Consider the following 25725-nt stretch of genomic DNA (forward strand, 5'->3'; position numbering starts at 1 on the left):
GTTGCTTACAGATGATTGCTGTGGTGACTCAGACACCATGATGACCCCAAGAGATGCAAAATGAAAACATGCACCCGCGCGCGCACACACACACACAGACACACACACACACACACACACACACAGGCTTTTCCAATTTAAACCACTTGACAACTTTGACGTTTAGAGCATCGAGCATGGCTCATTGTGTTCTGGGATGAAGCTCATAGCAACTGCAGAAAGTGATGGAGTCAAACACTATGTTTAGTGTGTTTGTTTTTTTAGAAGGTACTTTCCCATATGACTAAGAGAATGAAATCAGCCAGTGAAAATAACTGCAAATGAGCCAGAAAACAAGTCTGTTAACAATAGCTGGTCTCTAAGTCCCCATCCTCCTCCATTCAGGGGCTCCACGCACATCTGTCATAATAGAACTAGGCCTTAAAGGGCCTTAAATCCTGTATTGTCAACTCCCCAATAACCACCATCAATCAAGACATCAACCCTCTCTGGAAGACCTCATCTAGGGCTCTGCCATCGCTGCTCACAGCCTATAGAGACAGGTGCTCACTACTTCCCGGCTTAGCCCAGTGTACCCCTGGGCAGTTTTTGTTTGTTTGCTTGTTTGTTTGTTTGTTTTTTGTGTCTCATTCTGTCACCCAGGCTGGAGTACAGTGGTGCAAACAGGACTCACTGCAGCTTCTTCCTCCTGGGCTAAAGCAATCCTCCCACTTCAGCCTCCTGAGTAGCTGGGACTACAGGAGTGCGCCATCACACCTAGCTAATTTTTAAATTGTTTGTAGAGACAAGGTCTCACCGTGTTGCCCAGGCTGGTTTCAAACTCCTGGCCTCAAGCGATCCGCCTGCCTCTGCCTCCCAAAGTGCTGGGATTACCGGTGTGAGTCACTGTGCCCAGCTGGCCCTCAGGCAGTTTTTATTGTTAGAAAGTTCCTTGTGCTGATCAGAAATCTACTTCCTGGTAATTTCAATAAATCTATGTCTTCTGCCCTCTGGGGAGCCACAGACCTCTTCTGTTCCCTCTTCCCCAGGTGAGCCCAGTAGAGGTTTGGAGAGTGTGACCATGTTCCTCCTGGTCCTTCAACTGTTCTTCATATGACACCTTGTTTACCTTCTCTGGACTCAGCACCACTCAAAAGAGAAGGCCTAATTCACAGCAGAGGTCATCCCCATGTCCAGAAGGCATATAAAATGTGCTCAGCATCATTAGTCGTCAGGGAAATGCACAATGAGTTCCCACTACCTGCCCACCAGAATGGCTAACAGGAAGGTGCTGACAGTACCAAGTGTTGACAAGGTTGTGGAGCAGCTGGAACTATCATACATTGTTGGTAGAAATGTAAAATTGTAAAATTACTTTGGAAAACTGACAATATCTACTGAAACTAAACATATGCCCACTCTATGACCTAGCAATTCCACTCCTGGGTACACACCCAAAAGAAGGAAGTGCTTATTTCTACCAAAAGACATATTCATAGCACTGTTTATAATTACCAAATACTGGAAATAACCTAAATGACCATTAAAAGTAGAGTAAATAAATAAATTATGGTATATTTCAGATAATGGAATACTACACATCAATGAGAAAGAACAAACTGTTACTACACACAGTAGCACAGGTGAATCTCACAGATACAATGTTGAATGAAAGAAACCAGATGCAAAAAAAAAAAACCCCAAAAAACACATCCACTATATGTTTCCATACAATGTTCAAAAAGCCAAAACTAATCTACAGTCTTAAAGGTCAGAATAGTACTATAAATATATTATTTTATATATATTATAAATAGTTACTTTTGAGGGAGATTGACCAGGAGGGAATTTAAGGAAGTTTTCTTGGGGGCTGGAAATGTTTAGTATCTTCATTTGAATGTCTACATAGGTATATAAATGTGGGAAAATTACATGAGTTGTATACTTAAGCCTTGCACACTTGACTGTATATAGCCAGTGTCTTGTTTAAAAAAGATAATTACCACCCACCCCCCACAAAAGAGTGTGGCCCAGAGTTGAGCTCCAGCATAAAACCAAGCAAGACTGTCATTGCCCTTACTTTGGCACTACACTTTTATTACAGCAGCTAAGGTCTCACCATGGCTTTGGGGATGAGCACCTTGAACTGTTGATTTATGCTGGGTCTACAGTCACCGGAGAGCCCCACATCTTTCTCATGGCTGCTCAGCCACGTCCACTCATCCGGTGCTTGCAGGCTGCAGGCTGGGCCTGAAGGAAGGTGAAGGAAACCGGTTATCGAGCTGTATCATCCCTTCTCTCATGTCCCCTTTACAGTACCCCTTGGGAGAACATTCAGTCCGTGTCCTGCTCTCACTTTGCAGAAGAAACCCCGAATCTCAGAGGCACAAAGTGGTATGCCTGAGGCTGCCCAGTCAGCTAGAGCCAGGGGTAGGGATTTCAGCCCAGGTTTGCATGACCCCTAGTTCAAGCTCTCATCTTTAACCAGGCTGACCCAAGATGGGGCCTCACCTGTAAAGGAAACTAAGGGCCCAGGGCATCTGTTCTGCTCCAGGGGTGGTGGATGAAGAGAGGACGGGTGTGACATTATCCCAGGATCTCTGTGTGAGTCTTATCTCCCCATGTTAATTATAAGCGCCTGAGAGCTAGGACTTCTTATTAATTTCTGTCTCTCCCAAAAAGACCCAGCATGCCCTCCCCATAGTGGGTACCCAGTAAATACTCACCCAGTGAATTAGGTTGTAGAAACTGAGATCCAGAGAAGTACAGCAGTTTGCTCAAGGTCATATGGCAGGTCCTCAACTAAAGTCAGGACTTGTAACCAGGCCCCCTGACTTCTATGGCAATGCTCCTTCTGCCATTGCACAGTGGCCCTAGTGTCCTCGAGACCCCGGGACTAGAAATTTCAATGGATTGGAAGACACTAGGGAGGAAAAGGACATTCACATGTAAGCCAAGGCTGAGTCTGGCCCTGGGGCCTTCAGAGCGTGTGCCCTGGGGCTAAGGCTGGAAACAGGTTGTACACCTGTGCAGGTGCACAGAGCCCTGCTTTCAGAGGGACACTGTGCTTGGTGGAATGTTCTGCAGTCACTGTCTTAAATTTTTTTTTTTTTGAGATAGAGTCTCACTCTGTTGTCCAGGCTGGAGCACAGCAGCACGATCTTGGCTCACAGCAACCTCTGTCTCCCAGGTTCAAGTGATTCTCCTGCCTCAGCCTCCCGAGTAGCTTGGATTACAGGTGCCCGCCACCACACCTGGCTAATGTTTTTTTTTTGGGGGGGGGGTTGTGTTTTCTTTTTTTTCTTTTTCTTTTTTTTTTTTTTGTATTTTTAGTAATGACAGGGTTTCACCATGTTGGCCAGGCTAGTCTTGAACTCTTGACCTCAAGTGATCCGTCCGCCTTGGCCTCCTAAAGTGTTGGGATTACAGGCGTGAACCACCGCACCTGGCCGAAATTCTTAATAATTTTATCTTTGAATTTATATTTTTAAGTGAAGTTTCAATGAAGTATGTGCCAGGGCTCAGAACCTCAGCTTGCATGAGGTCCCACCTCTTGTTGCCTCACTGCTTCCTGGGGATGGGTTCTTGGACTAGAGCTCCCTCGCCCCTGGCACCCTCTGGTTCCATTCAGCCTCCCACTTCCCACTCCTGCTGGGCTGCCAGTGAGGCCGCCTGGTGTATTCAGCTGGAAACTCTGCAGGGCAAGCCTTTCATCCACTGCTCTTACAGGTACCTAATGTCCTGGCACAGGGGTTGTAATACCGTTGGGAATTGCCCATGATATTGCAGTCGCTGTGCCAGGACATTAGGTAATCTGAATTAGAAGTGGACGAAAGGATTGTGTTGCGGCAGCGGCCAGGACCAGGCCACTCACTACCTGGATCGGGGCAGACAAGAAGATTGTGTTGGGCCAGTGAACCGTGGGAAGGGGAAATGCCTGGCATGACTTCCTGGCCCTGCCCTAGGGCAGGATGTGTCGGTCCTGGGTGTGATAAGAGAAAGAAATTGGCAGCCAGTGGGCTTCTTGTGCAGTACACGGACACCTATGTGGATCACGGTATTAATAATAAATAAAAAACACCATGACAGTCTGGGCATGGTGGTTCACACCTGTAATCCCAGCACTTTGGGAGGCTGAGGCAAGAGGATTGACTGAGTCCAGGAGTTTGAAACCAGCCTGGTCAACATAGTGAGACCCTGTCTCTACCAAAAGTTTGTAAACTAAAACAAAAATGAAAAAAAAAAAAACAAACCACCATGCCAGATCAAGAGAGAGACCATGGGAGAAACGAAGAGCTTTATATTTTGATACTTTGTTTTGTTTTTGTTTTGAGACAGGGTCTCAATCTGTTATCCAGGCTGGAGTGCAATGGCATGATCTTGGCTCACTGCAACTCCTGCCTCCCAGGCTCAAGCAATCCTCCCACCTCAGCCTCCCAAGTAGCTGGGACTACAGGCACACACCACCATGCCTAGCTAATTTTTCTATCTTTTGTAGAGACAGGGTTTTGCCATGTTGCCCAGGCTGTTCTCGAACTCCTGAGCTCAAGCAATCCATCCACCTCAGCCTCCCAAAATGCTGGGATTACAGGCATGAGCCACCACGCTCAGCCTATTTTGGTACCTTTAATGGCACTTTTGTCTTGCCTTTTGAGCAAAGGGTCCCACTGTTTTACTTTGCACTGAACCCAGCAAATTACGTAGCCAGTCCTGCCTGGGTGCATCTTTCAGCAAGGCAGAGTGAGAAGCCTCAGCTATTTTACACAGGGGATCCTTAGGGGAAGCAGGATGGTTTGGAATCAAGACATTGGTGACTGAGAGAGCTCAGCCCTCTCAGTTCAGCTCTCTCCCTCTCCCTGTTTCTCCTCGGCTCTCTTCTATCTGGAACCCATCACAGGTGACAACACGCCCCCGGGGACATGAAACTGCAAGCATAAAAGTAGTTATATTTTTATGCGCTGCAAAGGTCTCTGCACATCGGAGGAGTGGTTATTGGCATAATTATTGCACCACCTTTTATGACCCTGATCTCAGCCTTAAAAACTAAGGAAGCTAAGCCCCCTCAAACTTCCATTACTTTTTGTCTACTCCTTCCACACCTTACCCTACCCCTGCCCACCCAATCGATTGCTGGTTGACTTTCTTCCCCTGCCGGTCACTGGCCTGAGATAGGATTCAGTTTTCCACCCTCGCCCAGGGGTCTGTATCCCTGACTGACAATTCAGTTCAATCTGCAGTAACTTCACCTTCACTCTGAGCCAGGCAGGGGCTGGGCGCTGAGATGTGCAGATGTCAGATGTGATCTTGCCCGGCTCAATCTGGGAACACAGAGAGATGTGGGGAGTCCCAGTCTCCTCCGCTAGGCAGGGGCAGCGCTGCTTCTTTAGAGCTTCCTACAGAGGTGTGGGAGCAGAGGGGGGCATTATCCCAACCAGGGGTGCCGGGAGCCTGTGTGGTGAGGTGCGCTTTAAAGACATGCTCTCTATCCATCCATGGGAAGCAGTTGGAGCTTGGGAAGCAGTTGGAGCTTAGGAGTTGGAGCTTGGGAAGCAGTTGGAGTTTTCAGCTTGGGAGTAGCATGAGGACTGATTTTCACCAAGATCATTTGGAGGCTGAGTTGAGTGAGGATAGGAAGGAGGGAGAACTGAGGCAGGGGACTAGTTTGGAGACCACTGTACTCACTGAGATCATAAGAGGCAGTGCCGTGAGAAGGGAGAGGAGGGACAGATCCAAGGATGTTAAAGAGACAGGATTCCAGTCACAAAGAGACAACACAGCATGACTCCAGTCATCGGTGGCCCCCGGAGTAGTCCAATTCGCATAGACAGAAAGGAGAATGTGGTTGCCAGGGGCTGGGGGAGGAGAGAAAGGGGAGTTAGTGTTTAATAGGGACAGAGTTTTTAGTCTGAGAAAATGAAAAAGTTCTGGAGAGGGATAGTAGTGACGGTTGCACAACAACAGGAATGTACTTAATGCCGCAGAACTGTGCAACTAAAAATGGTTAAAATGGCAAATTTTATGTTTTGTGTATTTTACCACAATTTGAAAAGCAACTATAACAACAAAAAGATAGTGGGCCTGTGGGGGTGGGGAGGAGAGGCCAGACATGGTGGCTCACACGTATAATCCCAGCACTTTGGGAGGCTGAAGCGGGAGGATTGCTTGAGGCCAGGGGTTCAAGGCCAGCCTGGGCAACATAGCAAGACCTCATCTCTACAAAAAAATTTTTTTAAATGAGCTGGGCATGGTGATGCACCCCTGTAGTCCCAGCTACTCGAGAGGCTGAGGAGGGAGGATTGCTTGAGCCTGGGAGCTGGAGGCTGCAATGAGCTATGATTATATCACTACACTCCAGCGTGGGTGATGGGGGAAAAAAAAAAAAGTTTAAAATAAGAGAAAGAGCTTTGTCAGGCTCAGGCTGGCCCTGAGCTGGAGAGTGGGCTGGGAAGTCTATGCTGACCCCAAGGGTCTGGCCTGGGTGACTGACAGGCAGAAGAGGAGCTGCAAACCAGGCCAGGGGAGGGTGGTGGTGCCAAAGCCGGACACGCATGCTGGGTTGGGCATGTGGGGCCTGAGGACTCCAGGGGGAGGTACCCAGAAGGGAGCAGGGGCTCAGGAAGGGGCCTGGGCTGGATAGACACCATCTGAGTGTCCTCAGCTTATCACAGGTAGCAGGCCCCACACGGGAGAAGATGAGAACCAGCCAGGGAGAACGTGAGAAGAGGGCAGAGCCCAGAGAAACAGGTGGGCCAAGAATAATGCGTCATCAAGGAGACCTGGGAGGATTCAGAAAGGAAGCAGGGAAACCAGGAGAGCTTCGCTGCAAGGAGTGGGAGCTCATTAAGGTCCCTTAGGACAGCGAGTGGGCGTGGCCAGATGGGTGGGCCTGGACAGGCTCATGGGAGGACAGGGGGCTCGTGGGAAACAGGCTGAGCCGTACCATCCAGGCTTGAGGGAGGGGGGCCTGGGCATTGTTGGGTCTTGTGTGCTCTGTCTCTCATGGGCAGCACAAGCTGTCCCTCAGGACTCCACTCCCTTGCCCATTCTCATCCCCCATCGCCTCAGCTTCCACACGTCCGCGATGGGCCCCCCAGCTTCTCTTCACCACAGCTGCCCCAACACCTGCCCCATCTTCTCCTCCTGTCCCAGTTCCATGTTATTATGGGTTGGATTGTGTCCCCAAAAAAGCTGCACCTGTGAATGTGACCTGTGAATGTGATAAGGTCCTTAGGGAAGCCCTAATGCAATATGACTGCTGTCCTCAGAAAAAGGGGAAATTTGGATCCAGACATGTGCAGAGGGTAGACACTGCGAAGAAAAAAACAGGGAAAGGAGCCTCTGCCGGCCAAGGAACACCTGAGGCCAACAGAGCAGCTGGGAACAGATTCGTCCTCAGAGCGAGCCAGCCCTGCTGACCCTTGATTTCTGACTTCTGCCTCCAGAACTGAGAGCCAACACACTTCTGTTGTTTCTGTCACTTGGTTTGTGGGGCTTTGACGGGGGCATCCCCAGGAAACAAATACAAATGCTAAGAAATGAATGAGCTAAGAACTCCTCTTTTACCCAACTCCTCTTTTTGGTTTTTTCTTTGTCTTGGGCCACCTTGGGACCTTGTCACTGGCCTTCCAATCAATTGGCTACCCTTGAGCCAGGCACCCCTCTGCCCAGTCATCTGAGAGTGGAGGGGTGACCCGTGATATGAAGCATGGCTGCCCTGAGAGGTGCCCCTTAAAGGGTGCAGGGGAGTAGCGGGGAGACAGCTCTCTCAGGAGGGACAGGGGACATTGCAGGTGCTCTTGCATCCCTGCAGCCGAGGGAAGAGAGATTCCAGAGAGGGAGGTAGATGGCATTGTCTTGGGATACAGAATTTAGTGTAGAGGGAACCTGACATAAAATCCCTTTGGCCAAAGTGTCTTCCGGAAGACAGGGACAAATCCACAAATATCTGGGGCATAAAGGATGGACTTTCTAAGTCAACCTTGCCTTCCCATCCTCAAGATGTTCACTGTGGCTGAAATAACAAGTCAGTATAACTGGAAAATATTTATTTGAACTTGTGACTCAGCTCTTCCTGAGCTCAAGGAAGTGCAGTCCATAAATCAAGATGATGCCGCGTAAGTGCCTCCTCTGGAGTGTTCCCACATTGGCGGGCAATGCTGGAGAAGCCATTAGCAGAAGTGACTGGACCGGCTGCCCGTGAAAGATTTAAAAGAGCCTTGTGTACTCCAGGAGCTGCTCCTTCTCAGAGCTTTCATTTCTGAGGCTTTCCTGATGGATGGCCTCAGCCTTTGACTCCCTCATTTTCACTGTCCAACCTGCCGAGTGCTACTTCCTGGCACAGCTTGTAAATTCTATTTTTTCATATTTAACGGAGGCTTAAGGCTTCTGCCACAGAGAAGCGGGGTGGCCGGATATGCTGTAAGTGTAAAATAGACACCAGATTTGGAAGACTTGAGTTTGCGAAGGTGTTTTAAATATATTTACCTGTCCTTTTATTGCTCTCACCAACTCTTGCTCAGGGTCACCAGGAGCTGCTGCAGGTGGGCCATGCTGGGAGCCCCAGCGGCTTCATCACCCCCTTCCTGCCCATCCCTCCCCTCTCAGACTTTCAGTCCCTCCAGATCTGGTCCAATCTTGCCGTGGTAAAGATGGGAAAACAGAGCATCTGAGAAGATAAGGGATTTGCCCAGGATTCCAAGTACCCTAGACCAGGACCCAGAGGTGCTCATTCCCCATTCCTCAGGTGACACCACTGGGCCAGGCACAGGGCAAGGCACTGGGAACACGAAGACACATAGAACACGGGTCCTCTCCTGAGGGACCTCGGAGCCTGACGACAGCATGGCTCGGGGAAAGGAGGTAGAGACTCCAGCAGCGACAGCCTCATAATAATGGCTAATATCTGTGAAGCCAGTTGACTGCACCAGTCAACCCCAGGCTACAGCCTCATCTGCTTGCTACCCCATGATCCTCACAATACCTTACGGGGGCGAGTACGGTTAGCCTCTCACTATGCAGACCAAGAAACCCAGTCCAGGGATTTTCCACTTTTTATTTGAGCCACAGAATCCTTTCTTCAAGTGAAATTTTATATGGAACCCAAATAAATACATCAGGTAAAATCAGGAGTGAGTCCCCCTCACTTATCCCTAACCCTTTGCAGGGCCCTGGAGGCACTTTCTCAGAGCCTGAGATCTCCTGTTGGCATAGTTTAAAAACCAGCCAGGTCAGTCAATGCTTTCATTTTTCAGAGGAGGGAAGGAACTTAGCAAGGGTCACCCAGGGAATTACTGTCACAATTAACACTCCAACCACAAGTCCTATGAAGCTCAGGCCTGTGCTCCATCCCTGACACCTCTTCTCTTAGGAAACAGAGGCCTTTTATTAGCAGCTATAAAATACAATCTCTTCTAAGCCATATTTTAAGACCGAGTTTGCAGTGGGCTCTCTGAACACACTGTTTTCGCCTCCCTCCCACCCTGTGTCTTCCCTACCTCCAGTTCTCCCATTTCCTCCACCACAGGAGAATACTGCTTCGTAGCAACCGTCCTTGTGAGCCAAGTCGATGAGTGTGGCTTGAAACTGACAGCTTCATAGTTTACCTTAGAGTTTTTGGTTCTTCTCAGTTTATTTCATGTTGTGCCTCATCACTCCATAATATTCACAGGACTCTTGACGTTAGAAAGGGCTTTTTAAATCCAGTGAAATAGGATTTTAGAAATCAATAGCACCTTGGGGTGTGTATGTGGTGCATTAACTTTCCTGGGTGCAGTAAGAGGAGACTTCTTTAGGAAATTTCATGATTTGCCCCCCTCAGGGTGGCATCTCTAGGGGAGGCCTAGTGCCCCACCACATATCCCTCCTTCAGCAGTCCTCATAGTTGCCACCTCCTTTCCTTTCTGGCTCTTTTCCCAGCCCCTTTTCCCCAAGCTGGCTTTGATAAAGGATTTCTTTCTCCCCTGCTCCCTCGGCCTGGCTGGTCCATTCTCCAGGGTCTGTCCATGACTCTTTTTCTAAGGCTTTTACTATAAAGCATCTAGAAAATAAGGCAGCTGGAAGAGGTAACAAGTATGAGACACTCCCAGGGTTCCCAACCTGTCTGATGTTCCCCAGAAGTGTTTCCCAGCTGGTCCTGTCCTTGTGTCCCTTCTTGTGTGGTTCTGATGTGACCCAGAGGTGAGGCAAAAAGCGTGTTTTCCAAACTTGGTTTTGTGAGATTCCATTTCCGGGTGCAGTTTCTCAGAGACGTGCTTTTATGATAAAAAAGACTGGGGGAATTCTGCTTGCAACCTATTCCTCTTGGAGACTCCATTGTATACCCACATACCAACATTTTTGAAGAAGTCCTGCAGTCCAGAGTCCTAGGGAACTTCATATAACCCAAAACCCGTTTGAGCACCAAAAGCTTGTGTTTGCAGCCTCTCTAAGAGATGCTAGTTTTAAGGCAGTTCTGGACATCTCTGTGAGTTGGTTCTGGAAGACTCCAAGCCCTTCACTGGAGTCCCTCTTGGCCCCAGCACAGAGATCATGGATCCTCTCCCCATCCTGGCTTCACTTAGGAAAAGCCAAATTAGGCTGTTTTCTGAGGGCCTTCAGGAAGGTTTTTTCGTCGATACCAGAGCACTGTCAGCTGTGCTTTCTTTGGAAGTAATAGAAATGGATCAAGTGATGGGGGGCCATTTATGGTCTGAGCATTGCATTCTTGGGGCCTGGTCAAAGAGGACGTTAGGCCAAGCTGAGCCATTCTGAGAGAAAAGGATGGCACTGAGGTTTCTGTATTTGGGAAGCAAGTCCTTCTTATCAAGCCAGCTGTCATATACTTGGATTTCTCCTGCAAATAGGCCGACACATGCACAGGCTTACACTGATAAAATGTGCTCTCTGCTTTCTGAGACAGAGACTTTTTCTGTTAGCTTAGTGAACTTTGGTTTTCATTTGTTTTAGATGCCTTTAATTATTTTTCATTAACAACTATTCCCAGGTTTTGGATCGATTGGTTGACTGTCCTTTCCTAGTTTTCATTTTTCTCTACTTTAGAAAATTCCATCATCATTTCACAGATGAGCCACGGGTGGGTTGGTTGGTTGGCTTGCATGGAGGTCTAAATACGTACGTTGCTGTGAAGAAGGTCATATCTGTTACATAAGTTTGCCTGGGCTGCTGGAACACAGTTCCACACACAGCGTGGCTTAAATAACAGAAACGTACTGTCACACAGTGTTGGAGGCTAGAAGTCTGAGATCAAGGTGTCGGCAGTGTGGGTTCCTTCTGGGGCTGCCTTCTGGTGGCTTGCTCTCAATCTTTGGCATTCCTTGGCTTGTAGTAGCATCACCCCAATCTCTGCCTTCATTGTCACATGATATTCTCTTAGTGTGCTATATCTGTGTCCAAATTTCCCGTTTATAAGGATCCCAGGTAAAATATATTGGATTAGGGGCCCACTCTATCCAGTAAGACCTTGACTAAACTTAACTACTTATATCTGCAATGACCGTATTTCCAGGTAAGGTCACATTCTAACTTGCAATGTGTTGCTAGGTTACTGAGATACTGGGGGTTAGAACTTCAACATATGAACTTTTATTTGTATTTTATTTATTTATTTACTTTTTTGAGACTGGATCTCACTCCGTCACCCAGGCTGGAATGCAGTGGCGGGAACATGGCTCACTGCAGCCTCGACCTCCTGGGCTAAAGCGATCCTCCCACCTCAGCCTTCTGAGTAGCTGGGACTATAGGTGCTGCACGACCACACCCAGCTAATTTTTGTATTTTTTGTAGAGGCAGGATCTCACTGTGTTGCCCAGGCTGGTCTCAAACTCCTGGGCTCAAGCAATCCTCTCACCTCAGCCTCCCAAAGTGCTAAGATTACAAGCATGAGCCACTGCACCCAGCCTTATATATGAGTTTTTAGGAGACACATATAACTCATCACACTGATTCTATGCACAGTACTACATTTAGCCAAGCTGGAGGACAATAGCGCTCGAGGTCCTGCTGTCCCTCCTAGCTCAGCGGAGGCAGTGTGGTGGAGTAGAGAGCACCCTCGGACTGATGTCAGGGGTCCTGAGTCAAGCCCTAGGCCATCCCTTAGTTTTTTCACTAATAAAAATGTTTTAATTAAAAGACCTATTAGTATCCAAGAAGATCTTCAAGGTATAAAAAAGGGGAAAAAAAAGTGTGTGTGGAGAGGCTCAGATGAGTTAACAGGTCTGAAAATGTCATGGTTATGGGAAGTAGCAGAGACAGGGTCCAAACACACAGGGTCCAAATGCGTTGGGTGTCATCTGTGAAATGGGAAATGAACAGTAGGCTTCTCCAGCAAGAGAGAGCAGTCTGGGAAGCAGCAGAGGTGAACCCTGGTCCCCAGGGTCCTGCTGGCAAACCAATTCTTCCCTCTGAACCGGCTCCCTCTGGGGGGAAATGGGGGCTCTGGACTAGGCAGTCCCCTGGCCACGCCATTGGGTGACTCCGCAGAGAAGGTCTGCAGCCAGCAGACCTGAGTTTAAATGTGGATCTGCTGCTTCCTAGTAGTGTCGTTTGGGTAAGTCACTTAATCTCTCTAAGTCCTTCTCTATAAAATGGGGATAATGGTAATACCTACCTCACAGGTTAAATGAGAAAGTCCTTGTGAAGTACTGAACACACAGCTTGATATGCAGTAGTAAAAGTTAGCTATTTCTATGAACTACTTTTTGTAAGGATTGAATGAGATGGTGTAGGTGAGGGGCCTGTATGCAGTAGGTGCTTAATTAACCACCGATACTCCCCTGCCCCTTTTAAACTCAGTTTTGGCAGAGTTTCCAGCATTCATGATTCCCTCTGGGGTGTAGGGTGAAGGGTGGAGAGTTACACAGAAAAGTATTTGAACTCCTTAAAGAATAACATTGTTTTCAGGCACTCATAAGCCATTTACAATTGCCCATTTACTTGTAATTAATGTCCATGCCAATTCTAACCAATTACAATTCATTAACTTACATGCTCTCAGGACTTTACCTTGCACAGTTTTATTAGAGAATTAGCCAAACTTAGTGTAGTATTCCACCATAGTAATGATTATCCTGGCAATTCATAAAATGTACCCAGGCCGCTGTGTGAACGATGAGCCTCCATTTGCTCTGAGAGAGCAAATCTGAGACGGGTCTTTCTAAGGTTCTTGTCTTTCTGGTAGGTATTACTCAGCACAGAAATTCAGGAGACACAGACAAGTTCTTCCACGATGTCGTACAGACGAGAACTAGAGAAATACCGTGACCTGGATGAAGATGAAATCCTTGGAGCCCTAACAGAGGAAGAGCTGAGGACCCTGGAAAATGAGCTGGATGAGCTGGACCCTGATGTGAGTAGGTGCTAAAGGGAAGCACATTGTCACTAGCGAGGGGACCTGGGGAGGGACAGGTGGATGCTTCCTAAAGCCACCACTTCCTTTTTCCTTCCATGGCAATGACATTGGTATAACTTTGCCTTTGCAGATTTTTCTTTTAATGTGTTGTATTAGGGTTCTCCAGAGAAAGAGAGAACCAATAGGGTGTGTGTGTGTGTGTGTGTGTGTATGTGTGTGTGTGTGTCGAGACAGAGAGAGAAGGGGAGAGAGAGATTTGTTATAAGGCTTTAGCTTGCAAGGCTATAGAGACCAGCAAGATCTGCAGTTGCTAAGGTGGAGACCCAGGAGAGCCAATGGCACAGTTCCAATACAAATACAAATAACCAGCAGGCCGAAGACCCAGGAAGAGTTGGGTCTGGGAAAAGATGTTTTAGTTTGAATCCGAAGGCAGAAAAAAGCCAATGTCCCAGCTCAAGGCAGTCAGGCAGGAGGAAATTTCCGCTTACTTGGAGGAGGGTCAGCTTTTTTTCCCTACTCAGGTCTTCAACTGATTGGATGCCCACCCCCCACCGCCATATCAGGGGGAATAATCTGTGTTACTCAGTCTACTGATTCAAATATTGGTCTCATCCAGAAACACCCTCACAGACACACCCAGAAAAATGTTTGACCAAATGTCTGAGCATCCCATGGCCAAGTCAAGTTGACACCCAAAATTAACCATCACAGTCTACCCCTTGTCAACTTGGCACACATATACATCTCTTTAAACCATACTTAATTTCCAAATAAAGACAGTAACGATGTCATAATTCTGCCTAACATGATACAACTATCCTGGGTACAATGGAAAACACACTATCACCTTCCCCAGAAGAGGAGGTAAAGTCCATGAGTGATGTTTATTCTTCTCCTTGCTGTCCTGTAACTTAAATATTATAATGTAAAATTAATGATACTTAAATCCTATTATACAAAGCCAATACACCAATAACAGTAAAGTCGGTATCAAACAATCTTGTGTTACATGATAAGGGAATAAGAGAGGGAAAAAGCAAAGATATTTGCTACACACACACACACAATACAAGTGTTCATAAAATAAGGAGGAAGTACTCATGACAATTACAGTCTTCATTTCTGTAACTACTCAGATAGTTGTAGCTGGTATTTATAACTACCCTGTTTCATTCCCCATTCTTTGCCTTTAGCAAGCACCTCAGCTGGTTGTGGTTCTTTACCCGATGGGGTGACCTAAGCTTTCATTTCTGAAAGGCCTAGGCCATTAGTAGTCCTGCCTGGATTAGTTTGTTGTAGTTTTCCATTGACCCTAATCACAGGGCATGGTAATACTAAAAAACGCCCTAAGGGCTCTCCTGTATCCAGACATACTTTCTTACCTCCCTTGTGCAATAGCTATCCAATTTCTCCTTGGTAGTCAGCATCTGTCACCCCAGCCAGCCCAGTAACTCCCTTCTTTGCTCATTGATTCAGAGTCATGAGGAGCCCAAAGTGGCCTGGTGGCAGTTTTAACTTCCATTTTAATGGAATTGTTGTGTCTCCTAGTGGAACTTTGGTCCTTTGAAACTAAGACTTCTAGGCCAGCAGACCACAGGGTCATGGGAACAATGAACAAAAGTTTTGCTAGTGCATCACTAGGAGAAATGGTGAGTGGTGCCACTCCTATTTCCAATCTTGATTCCCTGACCCATGAATCCTAGCTATGGGAGAAATGGCATCCGCAATTGCCCACTGATTCAGAGCATATACAGCCTTCTGGAGAATGTTGCCCCGGCCTGTAAGGTGTGGCCACCTAGCTGGCACTGTAACTGAGTCTTCAAAAGGCCGTTACCCCGTTATATCGAGCCAGCAGCTTCAGGATGGTGGAGAACATGTGTCATGGAATGAATGAGCTGAGAAATAAAGGACCAGAATAATTCTTCTCATTTAATGTTTGATGTTTTATCATTGCATTTCATAGTTGGCACATTTAGAAGTGTGTTTAATACTCAGAATTCATCCCTGCAGTCAGGGTACACAGTGTCAAGAGTCAAAAGTCTCTTTGGTTGTGTATGTGGTTTAGCAAGTCACACTAGAACTGTGAGCATGGGCATAGAGGGGTTCGTAGGTGGCCTCCTAGACAAGGGTCTTCATCCTACAGCTATATCCCAGGCACCCAGGTCAATAACCAGCACAGAGAAGGTAGATAATCAAAGTTACTGAACTGAGTAAATGTTCCATGTTATATATTTTTAATTAAAAATGGAATGTATCACACCCTTTTTTTAAACCAGCCATTGCTCAACTCTGGTTTAATAGTGATCCATAAAGAAAACAACACTTCAATCTCACTCACCCAGAGATGGTCACTGCTAACATCCCGGGAGCACAGTTTGATGAAAAAATGCAGGACTAGAAGTTAGGTGTTTCGCTTCCAATCCCAACCCTGTCTCTTCCACTCCATGTGACCTTGGACCAAGCTGCCATCCTTCCTAGACCTCAATGTCCCCAGCCATGGAATAGCAGAGTTGGTTGGTCATTTTCAGGGTTAAGCTAACCTGACTTATAATCTGGTCTTATACCCAGGTGTGATTAAGTGGCTTCATTCCAGATAACTCAGAATCCTTGCCTAGGGCTCTTGGGTCCCAGGCCCCATAGAATTACACATCTCTCCAACAGTGTGTCCTCCTCTTCCTGATATTCACGATCTTCCCCTGCCTGCCAGGAGAAGATGGTTTCCTGATGAGGCTGCTCAAGTTGATCAAAAGTCGGCATTGGTGGAAAGAGCCTTGCATTTCTCTTTCTTCCCCCGCATCATCTCTCCCCATTAGCCTGTGTTTCAGTAAAAACAAGCCATGTAGGCAAGAAAAAAATCAAGCTGCAAAATTATTCTGTTCTAATTCTATCCTAGATCACTGTCACACAGAATTCCAAGAACAAACAACTTTATAAAGGGAGAACAAAAGAGGCATGTAGCCACTTCCAGTTAACTCAATAAATGTGACTCGGTTACCTGCCGAGCACTGTGCTGGGCACCAACAGGGCAGCCTGGCTGGGACTCTGCCTTTCAGGAGCACAGGCTGGTGGGGACACAGGCATAATACACTGAGCTTGACACAGAGCAGACAGGAAGCTGTGCCAGGAGATTAACTCTTACTGGTGCAAGGCATCACAGAGCAGGTGATACTGGAACTGAGCTCTGGATTTTTTTAATTCCATGCCGAGTGAGGGCCTTTGAGAAAGGCCGCAAGGAGAGTGTTGTGTAGGGAAGGAATTGGGGATGGGAATCTTAGTGTGGTTTCTGTGGAGGGTCAGATGCGACTAGAAAGAGGGGTTGGGATAGATAACGCGGGGGAAGAGGGGGCGGCAAGGCCGACTGACGGGTTTAGACTTTGCTCAGTGGGTTCAGGGAGCCCTTGAGGGTCAGAGACTCAGAGGGGTTTTGGGAGCTGATGCTGGGGACACATGGACTGGAGGGGTGTCAGGGAGATGGGTGAGAGGTGGGAGGCGCTCCCGCGGGGGAATCTCTGCCATTCCCAGGGAGAAGTGCACCTGAGGGCCCTGCAGGCCTTTTGGGCTGTTTGAGTTGCCCTGAGATGCTGCATGGGGATGAGGTTAGGTCAGGCTGTGACCGCAAATAAGGCAGGTGATGACAAGGGTCAGAGCCAAGCGACAGACCTGGGAGTGGAGGGGGACAGATGGAGGAGGCCTCGCAGAACCCAAAATACATCCACCAGCAACTGCATTCTGTTTCACCCCCAAACTGGCAAAGAGCTCCCGCAGGTCTGCCACCCGACATATCAGAGCATCCAGCCTCAGCAGCAAATACCCAGGGCCCTGCAGCTCTCACACAGCCAGCTTTCCCGCCCAGGTGATTAGCAGGGAAGGGACACTCCACTTGTGCTACTGGAGGGACAGAGCACCTGGGGCTCAACTTGCTGACGGTCGCAGGACCCAGGCAGGCACGGAGACTCGGATTTCAAACAGGCTCCAGAGTGTGTGCACCTCCCACTCTGGCAGGAGAAAAGTAATTGAGCACAGGGGTGTGGGAGCAGGCATGGGCCATCTGAGACCTGAGATTCTCAGACCACTGTGGTTTCCCAGTTGGCATTTTCAAAGACCCCTTTCTCTCTCAGTTCAAAGAAAAGAGAAGAGAAACCAGAGAGAGGATAGGAGATAATGGAGGCCAGTGAGTTTCTGTCCCAGCCACACAATTGATCCCTTCATTAAGATCAGCTCTGTTACCTGATTTGCAAGACAGTATGTGAGCTTCGAAAAGGCCTGGAGGGCCTCCCTTCTTTTGGAGAGCACAAACATTCCAGTTCTAGTTTCACCCTCCCTTGGCCCATGCTCTGAAATCACAGCACAGGGAGAGGCCAAAGATATGCAGACAATGAGAGACTCCTAGCCAGCCAGCAGGTGTCTGCCCCTCCCACGGCTTCAGAGCAGGAGCAGAGCCCAGAGAGGGGAAAGAACTTGGTCTAGGTCACACATCCAAGCAGAACCAGATCAGAACCCTGGTGCCTTGGCACCTAGGCCACTGCCCTCTCTGTTATAGTCCATATTCCTCCTGTTTTTGTTTAATGAGTGCTTAGATGGCACTCACTATGTGCAGGTGCTGTTCTAAGGAATTTGAAAATATTAACTTATTTGACCATCATCATGATCCTAGGAGGCAGGCGCTGTTATCATCCCCATTTTACAGATGAGGAAACTGAGAGGTGAAGTAACTTGTCCAAAGTCCCACAACTAGGCGATGGCAGAGCCACTGCGTGTGGGTCTGGAGTCCACGACGTAGCCATGCCACTCCAAGGCCTCATGGGAGTGTTCAGGGAGAGAGTTTAGACTGCAGATGTGCTCTGGTTTTGTGGTTGGGGGTCGCTGTAGGAAAATAATCCCTCTTTTTTCTGGGAAAGAGCCTGAGGTGCAGAAGTCCAGGTTCCAGTCCTGGCTCTGCTCTGGACTTGGGTACGTGATTTTCCTTCTTTGGATCTCAATTTTCCTGTCTGTAAAATGGATACAGTCGGCCTAGATGGCCTTGGAAGCCCCCTCTAGCTCTAACCACATATGATTTCTTTGAACCATTCCTGGCTGTCTTAGTACCTGAATTCAACAAACACTTCAAGGGGTGACGTTTCTGGTTATGCAATTGTTAAGCCCCAGTGTCATGTGGCAGAATGGAGTACGAGGACTTGGAAAGCAGCTCTGTTTGCAGCAGAGGATTCCAAACTTGTGCACGTTAAAAAAAAAAAAAAAGTCCCCAAAACTTTCTATCTCTCTCTCTGGAAAAACTCGAGCTTATCATGAGATTGTTGCACTTGGACTCCCTCGGGAAAGGAATGCTTCATGTGCTAAAAGTATCCGCTGTTGACTGATTCCCCAGAGGATCTGCCCTTTCTCATCTCTCTGGAGTTAAGTGGATGCTGCTCTGAAGCAGAGCCAGCTCCTCAGTTCAGATTGCCTTTGTACCAGGCAGTGGGGGCAACACAGAGAGAGGTTTTGAGAATGACAAGTCATCGTGACTTCTGCAGGGAGCAGTGTACAGTTTTCATATGAGTAATAGACGCTCAATACTTCCTGGGTGTGCCATAAGCAAAGCCCTACGTGGATTATCTCATTTAGTCCTCTGGGAGGGTTCAGTCATTAGCCCCATTTTAAAGATGGAGAAGCCGAGGCTTAGAGATATAAAGTAACCTGCCCAGGATGCAATCTGAGCGGTGCTGGGATTCCAACCTAGACAGTCTTGGCCCAGTAACCTGTGCTGTTAACCCTGGGAGCACCTCTGAGACTAGCCCAGAAGGAAACTCAGAGAGCAGATTGGGGAATTATGCGTAAATTCTTATTTCCAACTTGATTTCTTTTGAAGTTGTTATGTTATTTTCACAATAAATACTAATCTTTCAAGAAAAGAAGAATCCACCAACACAAGGAATTTAACTGTAAATATTGATTGTTAATGAGGATTTGGGGAAAGGCAGAACATTTTTTAAACTGTCTCAGTAAAAGGCTCAAAATATTCGCAGGAGAGAAGATGGTAGAGATAATTCAACCTTATAAAGAAATTGGGTCCTAAGAGTTGATTTTAAAGTCAGCTGTCAGGAATCTGTGACACAATATAACCATAGAAACAATAATGGAAAACAACAGACCCTCTGCAAAGCCTGAATAATAATAACGATGATTTTCTACTGAGGAGTTTTTTTTTTTTTTTTGAGACAGAGTCTCGCTCTGTCGCCCAGGCTGGAGTGCAGTGGCATGATCTCGGCTCCCTGCAAGCTCTGCCTCCCGGGTCCACGCCATTCTCCTTCCTCAGCCTCCCGAGTAGCTGGGACTACAGGCGCCCGCCACCATGCCTGGCTAATTGTTTTTGTATTTTTAGTAGAGACGGGGTTTCACCGTGTTAGCCAGGATGGTCTCGATCTCCTGACCTCATGATCCACCTGCCTCAGCCTCCCAAAGTGCTGGGATTACAGGCGTGAGCCACCGGGCCCGGCTTTTTTTTTTTTTTTTTTTGAGACAGTTTCACTGTTGTTGCCCAGATTGGAGTGCAACGGCGTGATCTCGGCTCATTGTGACTTCCGCCTCCTAGGTTCAAGTGATTCTCCTGCCTCAGCCTCCCAAGTAGCTGGACTTACAGGCGCACATCACCATGCCCGGCTAATTTTTGTATTTTTAGTAGAGATGGGGTTTCACCATGTTGGCCAGGCTGGTCTCGAACTCCTGACCTTAGGTGATCCACACCCACCCCCCCCACCACCCCTTGGCCTCCCAAAGTGCTGGGATTACAGATGTGATCCACTGCACCTGGCCTCTGCTAAGGTGTTCTTACATGCCAGGTGCTATGCTAAGCATTTTATGGGCATCATTTCATAAAATATTTACAAGGATCTTACAAGATTGATCCTCATAGGATGAGGTTTAATGTCATTCTGTAGATAAAGAAATAGGTTCCCAGAATCACACAGCTATTAAGTGATAGAATTCAGACAGACCCTGCTTTCCTTAGACCATAATGTGTCAAGAGTTCTGAGAACAGGCTGGGTGTGGTGGCTCATGCCTATAATCTCAGCAGTTTTTGGGGCCAAGGCAGGCGGATCACTTGAGGTCAGGAGTTCAAAACCAGCCTGGCCAACATAGAGAAACCCTATCTCTACTTAAAATACAAAAATTAGCTAGGCGTGGTGGTGCGCAACTGTAATCCCAGCTACTTGGGAGGCTGAGGCAGGAGAATTGTTCGGACCTGGGAGGCGGAGGTTGCAGTGAGCCAAGATCATGCCACTGCACTCCAGCCTGGGTGACAGAGCAAGACTCCATCTCAAAAACAGAGTTCTGAGAACAAAGGGCCATGAATTGCAGGACGAAATATGGAAAACAGAATTGGAGAATCCCAGAGCTCCAAGGACACTTAGAAATCATCTAACAGTACCCCACCCCAGGCATCTACATACGCGGTACCGGTAGAGAAAGCCTGATTTTGGAGTCTGTCCTGGACACACTTGGTGTTTTATGTATTTCATCAAATCCTCATACCCATCCTGTGAGGTGTCATTATTACCATTTCACTGATGAGACATCCAAGCATCAACAAAACCCTGAAGTGGAAAGAGGGGTAAGGACTCATTCAAGGTCACACAGCAAGTCAGCGGCCGAGCCAAGGCGCCCACCTGGTACTTCCTGTCACTCCACATGGCTTCCCATCAGACGATCATAAAATCCTCCCTACTTGTGCCCCAAATCATATCCTTTAAGGCAAAGACACTCTTGCCATCCAGGAAGCAGCCAAGTTTGGTCCACAGGGCCGTGATTCTCCTTTGTAACACAAACCGGCAGAATCGCAAGCCCAGGACAGAAGTAAACAGTTGAAATGGAAAGAAATAAATCTCTCCTCTAAAAATAGGCACACATCCTTAGAAACACTGCTGGCTGTGCACAGAGCCGAGGATGGGCCTGGTGGGGTGAGGGCAAGTCAGGCCAGGCATCTGTGTGTCCCCACCCTACCCTCTGCCCTCTGGACCCATGACCACCTCTCCCAACCCCTCCTCTGGCTGGGGAACCTCCTCGACCTGGAACCCCTCACTTCCTCACATTTTTCAAGGCTTGACCTTTCCTCCCCTCCCTCGGGAAGCCTTTTAGACTCTTTCACCTTCACACCCCTAGCACAGCACCTGCTCCACCCTGGCAACACTGAGCTGTTTCCTATTTGATTTTGACATGTTGAATAGGAAACATTTTAAACACATAGGAGAGTACAGTATATACCTATTTTCTCATCATCTGAATTTAGCAAATGTTAAAATTTTGCCTTATTTGGTTCTGATCATTCTTAAAAAAAAAAAAGAAATCACTACAGATAAAATTTAAACCCTGCCTTTCTGTCTCCCTTTCTATTCATCATCTCTGCCACTCTACTGAGCGCTTTCTATTGGGAGGCAGCAAACCAAGTATCCACAACATCATGTAAGTGACCTACATGAAGGAAGGAAGATGGGTCAATTTTCTTGAGCCATGTGGTCATCTTGGCTTATCTATTACTTTCTCACTTTATAAAGGTATGTGTATGTAAGAAAATGTTCACTTACCATTTACATTTTCAGAACTAAAAGCAACAGCAAAACCAGTGCTATGTAGTAACTGACCGTGGCCTCTGTGTCAGAGAAAACAGGGAGTGGTGGGGACTGAGGCAAATGGGAGTTTGTCTAAAGCGCCCAGCATTTTCAGCTCCACTAATTGTTGCCGGTATGAGAGTGCAGACCTGGTATTGCCACGTCACCTAATGTTTCCAGAGATGTTGGAAATCTGGATTTTTAAAAAATGTATAAGCTCCTTATTTTAAAATGCTGACAGCTTATTTAAATGCACAGACCAAACAAACCCAACCAAGTGTTAGCTTTTAATTGGCCTGTAGGCCTCTCAGTTTGCAGCTCTGGTTCTACCTCCTATGGCAGGTGTTTGTTTTAGCATAAAAAATAGACACATACACAAACATATACATGTGTGATTAGATGAAAAGCACCTAGCCCAGTGCCTGGCACGTGGTGGTCCTTAATAAATGTGAGCCTGAGTATATGATTTGTCCACTAGAATCTAAGTTTTTTGAGACTGGGAACCATACTGTATGGCCACAGATACAGTGCAGCCAGGTATAGTTGTGCAAGTTGGACACTTTCTCCAGGAGACACTGTTCACATAGACTAGAGAGTGAATAATGTCCTTGGCTTAGTGCAGTGCACAACCTGCACAACCAGATGTGACTGCCCTGACAGACCACCTCCATAATGCAGTGTCTGTTCAGTTGAATGAAAGTGAATGATCATACCCAGTGATGGTAAAACTGAATAGCAAGAAACTGCTTCCATATGGAGTTTAAACCTTTATTCTGAGGTTTCAAGATAAAAGGGCTCTGGACCCTCATTTTACAGATGGGGGATCCAAAACCAGAGAGCACCAGTGCCCCGTCTGTGGCCTCACAGCCCTGGGCTGAGAACCCAGGTTATCAGGTAGGGTGCAGCTTCGCTACAAGTAACAGAGACTCAGAATAATGTGATTTGTGCAGTGTTTTATCCATCCCTCAAGTAAAAGTCCACAGGTAGGCAATCTAGGGCTGGGATGGAGCTCAGCTCCCCAGACTTCTCAGAGTCCTAGACTTTGTCCAGCTCATCTTTCTGCCATTCCTAAGGTGTAGCCCTATAGCCATAATAGCCACATTCCAGGCATCCAAATAGAGAAAAAGGGATGGGGAGGGGGAGGGATAAAAGAAAGGAGAAAAGCCATGATTCAAGTCCCTTTTAAGGAAAGTTACCAGAAATTGCCACTGGACATTTCTCATATCATTGCCTGGAACTTAATTATATGACTCAACCTAGCTGCAAGGGAGCCTGTGAAGTGTAGCCTTTAATCTGAGCAGCCAAGAGCTCAACTAAAAAGTGGAGGCTTTCTTTTATTGCTAAAGAAGGGGAAGCTTGAATCGGGGACGATTTGGAGTCTGTCACTGTGGGTTCACTAGTGTGATGGCCTGATGTTCTACTCTGCTGAAAGCCCTGAGATGGATTGAGAGGAGTTGGCAGGACTTTAACCAAATCCAGGCCCTCAAAGTAAACATTATAAAGGTCTCACTCTCTAGCTTGGCATTTCCCAAAACCCACGACAGTGAACCTTGGTCTCATCCTAGACACTCCCCAACTCTGACATCTTTCATAATATGTCCCTCTCCCCAAAACCCAATTGGGGACAGCAGCTGGGTGGAAAAGCCAATGGCTTGGGACAGCAGGTGCAACATGGGCCTGAAGGGAGTCCAAGTCATACCATCCTGTTCCCAGCTGGAGCATCAGTGTTGTGTGACTGGACAACTCAGACCACATTCTCTTAGCACTCATGGCTTGGTGCTGGGGATTCAGAGAAAATTAAGATATATCCCAGCTGGCCCTTGAAGGGCACCCAGTATCCTTAGGGAGAGAGATACAGCATAGATATGCTCCACAGAGTAAGATGAGCATTATTCAAGAACTGGCAAGATGCCTAGGGGAGTTTGGAGCAAGATTCACCAGGTCAGTTTGGAGAATCCTGCAAAGGCTGAACAGGGTGCCCAAGGGAAGGGCTTTGAAAGATGAATGCAGGGGAGCTGGAGTGACAGAATTCCAGGTGGAAGGCACAGCCTTGAGCAAAGGCATGGCAGTGGGAGAGTGCAGGGCGTGGCTGTGGAATATGGAGCAGCCTGGAGTGGCTAGAACATGGGCTACTTGATGAAGGGAAGAGGCTCAGGAGGCTGGAGAGGTGGGAGTAGGTTGGAGTCAAATCATGAAAAGCTCTTCATGCCTGGCTGATGAATTGGTCAAGAATTCGTAGGTCAGGGAAGTTGGTGAGCATCTCCGAGTATGCTGGGGAGTGATGTGGTCAGGTACACATGTCAGTGGAGTCTAAGGAGCAGAGGTAGAGAGGCCTGAAGCAGGAAACCAGCCAGGAGGCTTCTCTGCTGGTCCCGGCAAGACTCACAAGGGCTGGAACGAGGGTGATGCCCACAGAAGGAGACATTTCGGAACACTGCAGCCTCAGACCCTAATGCCTCCCCTAGCAGGCCATGCCGCCCTCATCTGCTGGGCCTCTGCTGCACTGTGCTTTCTCTCTCCCTGCGATGCCCCTGCACTCCCTCTCTTCACCTGGCTGGCTCTTCCCTGGTCCCTCAGACTCAGTTCAGGACCACCTCCTCCAGGAAGCCCAGGGCTGAGTAAGGTGACCACACCACTGAGATGTGTATCTCCCCTGTGGCTGTGAGCCCCTCTGGGCTGGGATCGTACCGTCATTGTCTCAGGATACCCAGTCCCCAGCACAACAGGAACATGGAACATTTTCCCTGCACATGAGGCAGGAAAGGAGGATTTGGAGAAAGCCAGGGAGGGAAGGTTTGTCCCCACCTTGAATACCAGAGAGAGACTGTGCTGCTATGACAAATAGGTACCACCACAAGCAATTATTGGGTTTCAGCTACAGGAGTGCCTTTGGACGTCGGCATTAATGCCCTGTAAAGTTGACTGGGGAAATGGCAGCTATTGAGTTTCACCAGCCCTGCATCAAGGTCAGGGCAGCTGAGCCAAAGGCCTAGCTCTTTGTGGAGAGAAAGCAAAGAGAGGGAGGAAGAGTCCCAGAGTGTGTATGTTAGGGCAGAGGCTGTGTCTGGAGGGGGTGGGGCTCTTAGAGGTTTGGATCCTGCTGGTCCCTTTGTAACATCAAGACGCTGTGACTGAGGCAAGAGTTGGCTCACCCCGCTGCCCCTGCCACACTCTCAGGCTAAAGTATGTGAGAAGAGCGCTCCACTGCATCATTTCCAGTGGGATCTGGAAGCTGCTGGACAGTAATGCAAAGGCAGAACTCTGTATATTGGGATGGGACCATAAGTGCCTAAGTTTTTCATAAGGAGAAACCGACCTGGCAGATAACTGGAAAATAAAATCCTCAAGGCCAGTTAAAAACTTTTGTTTTCCAGTCAAATCCCTTGTAAAAGGCAACTAGGGGAGTTGCTGGCCTGTGATAGGTTTGGCCTGGCCTGGCCTGGCCTGATGTGGAGGCAGGTGGGCGTCTAGGGCACACTTAGGTTAAATTGTTTGAAATGGGAGGAGGGAAGAGGAGTCAGCTGGAAGTTCGAAAAGTGAGGCCACTTTGGTTTCACTCCTACCCCAGGACAATTACTCAATGCCCCTGGACCTCGGTTTCTCCATGTGTAAACTGAGACTCATTTGATAAGCAGGGGAGTCTCCACTCCCCTGCTTTCTAACACTTGTGGAGGAGACCTGGCTCTCACGTGCGGCCACATCTGGTTTCCAGGATTTGTTCCCAGAGGACGGCAGTCAGGTGGGATGGAAAATTTTCTGTGGGATGGAAGTCAAGAGTCCTGGGCTCTCGGTCCAGCGTATGACTTCAAGTGAGGC

General features: G+C 47.8%; 1 protein-coding gene and 1 long non-coding RNA gene across 4 annotated transcripts in view, besides 5 other annotated features; one reads left to right on the forward strand and one right to left on the reverse strand.

The window, feature by feature from the left end:
- TMOD1 (tropomodulin 1) overlaps positions 1-25725 on the forward strand; it is a 100564-nt gene that overhangs the window by 9808 nt on the left and 65031 nt on the right. For all 3 annotated transcript variants that reach the window (NM_001166116.2, NM_003275.4, XM_047423825.1), the window contains one exon: positions 13154-13321. In NM_001166116.2, the coding sequence (NP_001159588.1) occupies positions 13202-13321 (120 nt within the window). In that variant the 5' untranslated portion in view covers positions 13154-13201. Of the gene's footprint in view, positions 1-13153; positions 13322-25725 lie in introns of those variants that run through there.
- Positions 125-614: an enhancer, noted in NCBI's record as "active region_28664". NCBI's record gives its function as "activates an Ori minimal core promoter by ATAC-STARR-seq in GM12878 lymphoblastoid cells {active_cell/tissue: GM12878}" and the evidence as "EXISTENCE:reporter gene assay evidence [ECO:0000049][PMID:35858748]".
- Positions 2050-5484, reverse strand: TMOD1-AS1 (TMOD1 antisense RNA 1). Its single transcript, XR_930157.3, has 3 exons — positions 5226-5484; positions 2706-2902; positions 2050-2229 (listed from the first exon to the last, which is right to left on the reverse strand). It is a non-coding gene; the product is annotated as a TMOD1 antisense RNA 1 (long non-coding RNA).
- Positions 4833-5333: an enhancer, noted in NCBI's record as "H3K4me1 hESC enhancer chr9:100278102-100278602 (GRCh37/hg19 assembly coordinates)". NCBI's record gives its function as "activates a minimal SCP1, AML or CMV promoter by ChIP-STARR-seq in naive H9 embryonic stem cells {active_cell/tissue: H9 hESC(naive)}" and the evidence as "EXISTENCE:reporter gene assay evidence [ECO:0000049][PMID:30033119]".
- Positions 17189-17288: an enhancer, noted in NCBI's record as "active region_28665". NCBI's record gives its function as "activates an Ori minimal core promoter by ATAC-STARR-seq in GM12878 lymphoblastoid cells {active_cell/tissue: GM12878}" and the evidence as "EXISTENCE:reporter gene assay evidence [ECO:0000049][PMID:35858748]".
- Positions 18721-18770: an enhancer, noted in NCBI's record as "active region_28666". NCBI's record gives its function as "activates an Ori minimal core promoter by ATAC-STARR-seq in GM12878 lymphoblastoid cells {active_cell/tissue: GM12878}" and the evidence as "EXISTENCE:reporter gene assay evidence [ECO:0000049][PMID:35858748]".
- Positions 19859-20017: a silencer, noted in NCBI's record as "fragment chr9:100293128-100293286 (GRCh37/hg19 assembly coordinates)". NCBI's record gives its function as "represses an EF-1alpha promoter that drives an FKBP-Casp9 reporter gene in an ReSE screen in K562 erythroleukemia cells {active_cell/tissue: K562}" and the evidence as "EXISTENCE:reporter gene assay evidence [ECO:0000049][PMID:32094911]".

Source organism: Homo sapiens, chromosome 9, assembly GCF_000001405.40.
Source record: "Homo sapiens chromosome 9, GRCh38.p14 Primary Assembly".
Taxonomy (NCBI): Eukaryota; Metazoa; Chordata; class Mammalia; order Primates; family Hominidae; genus Homo; species Homo sapiens.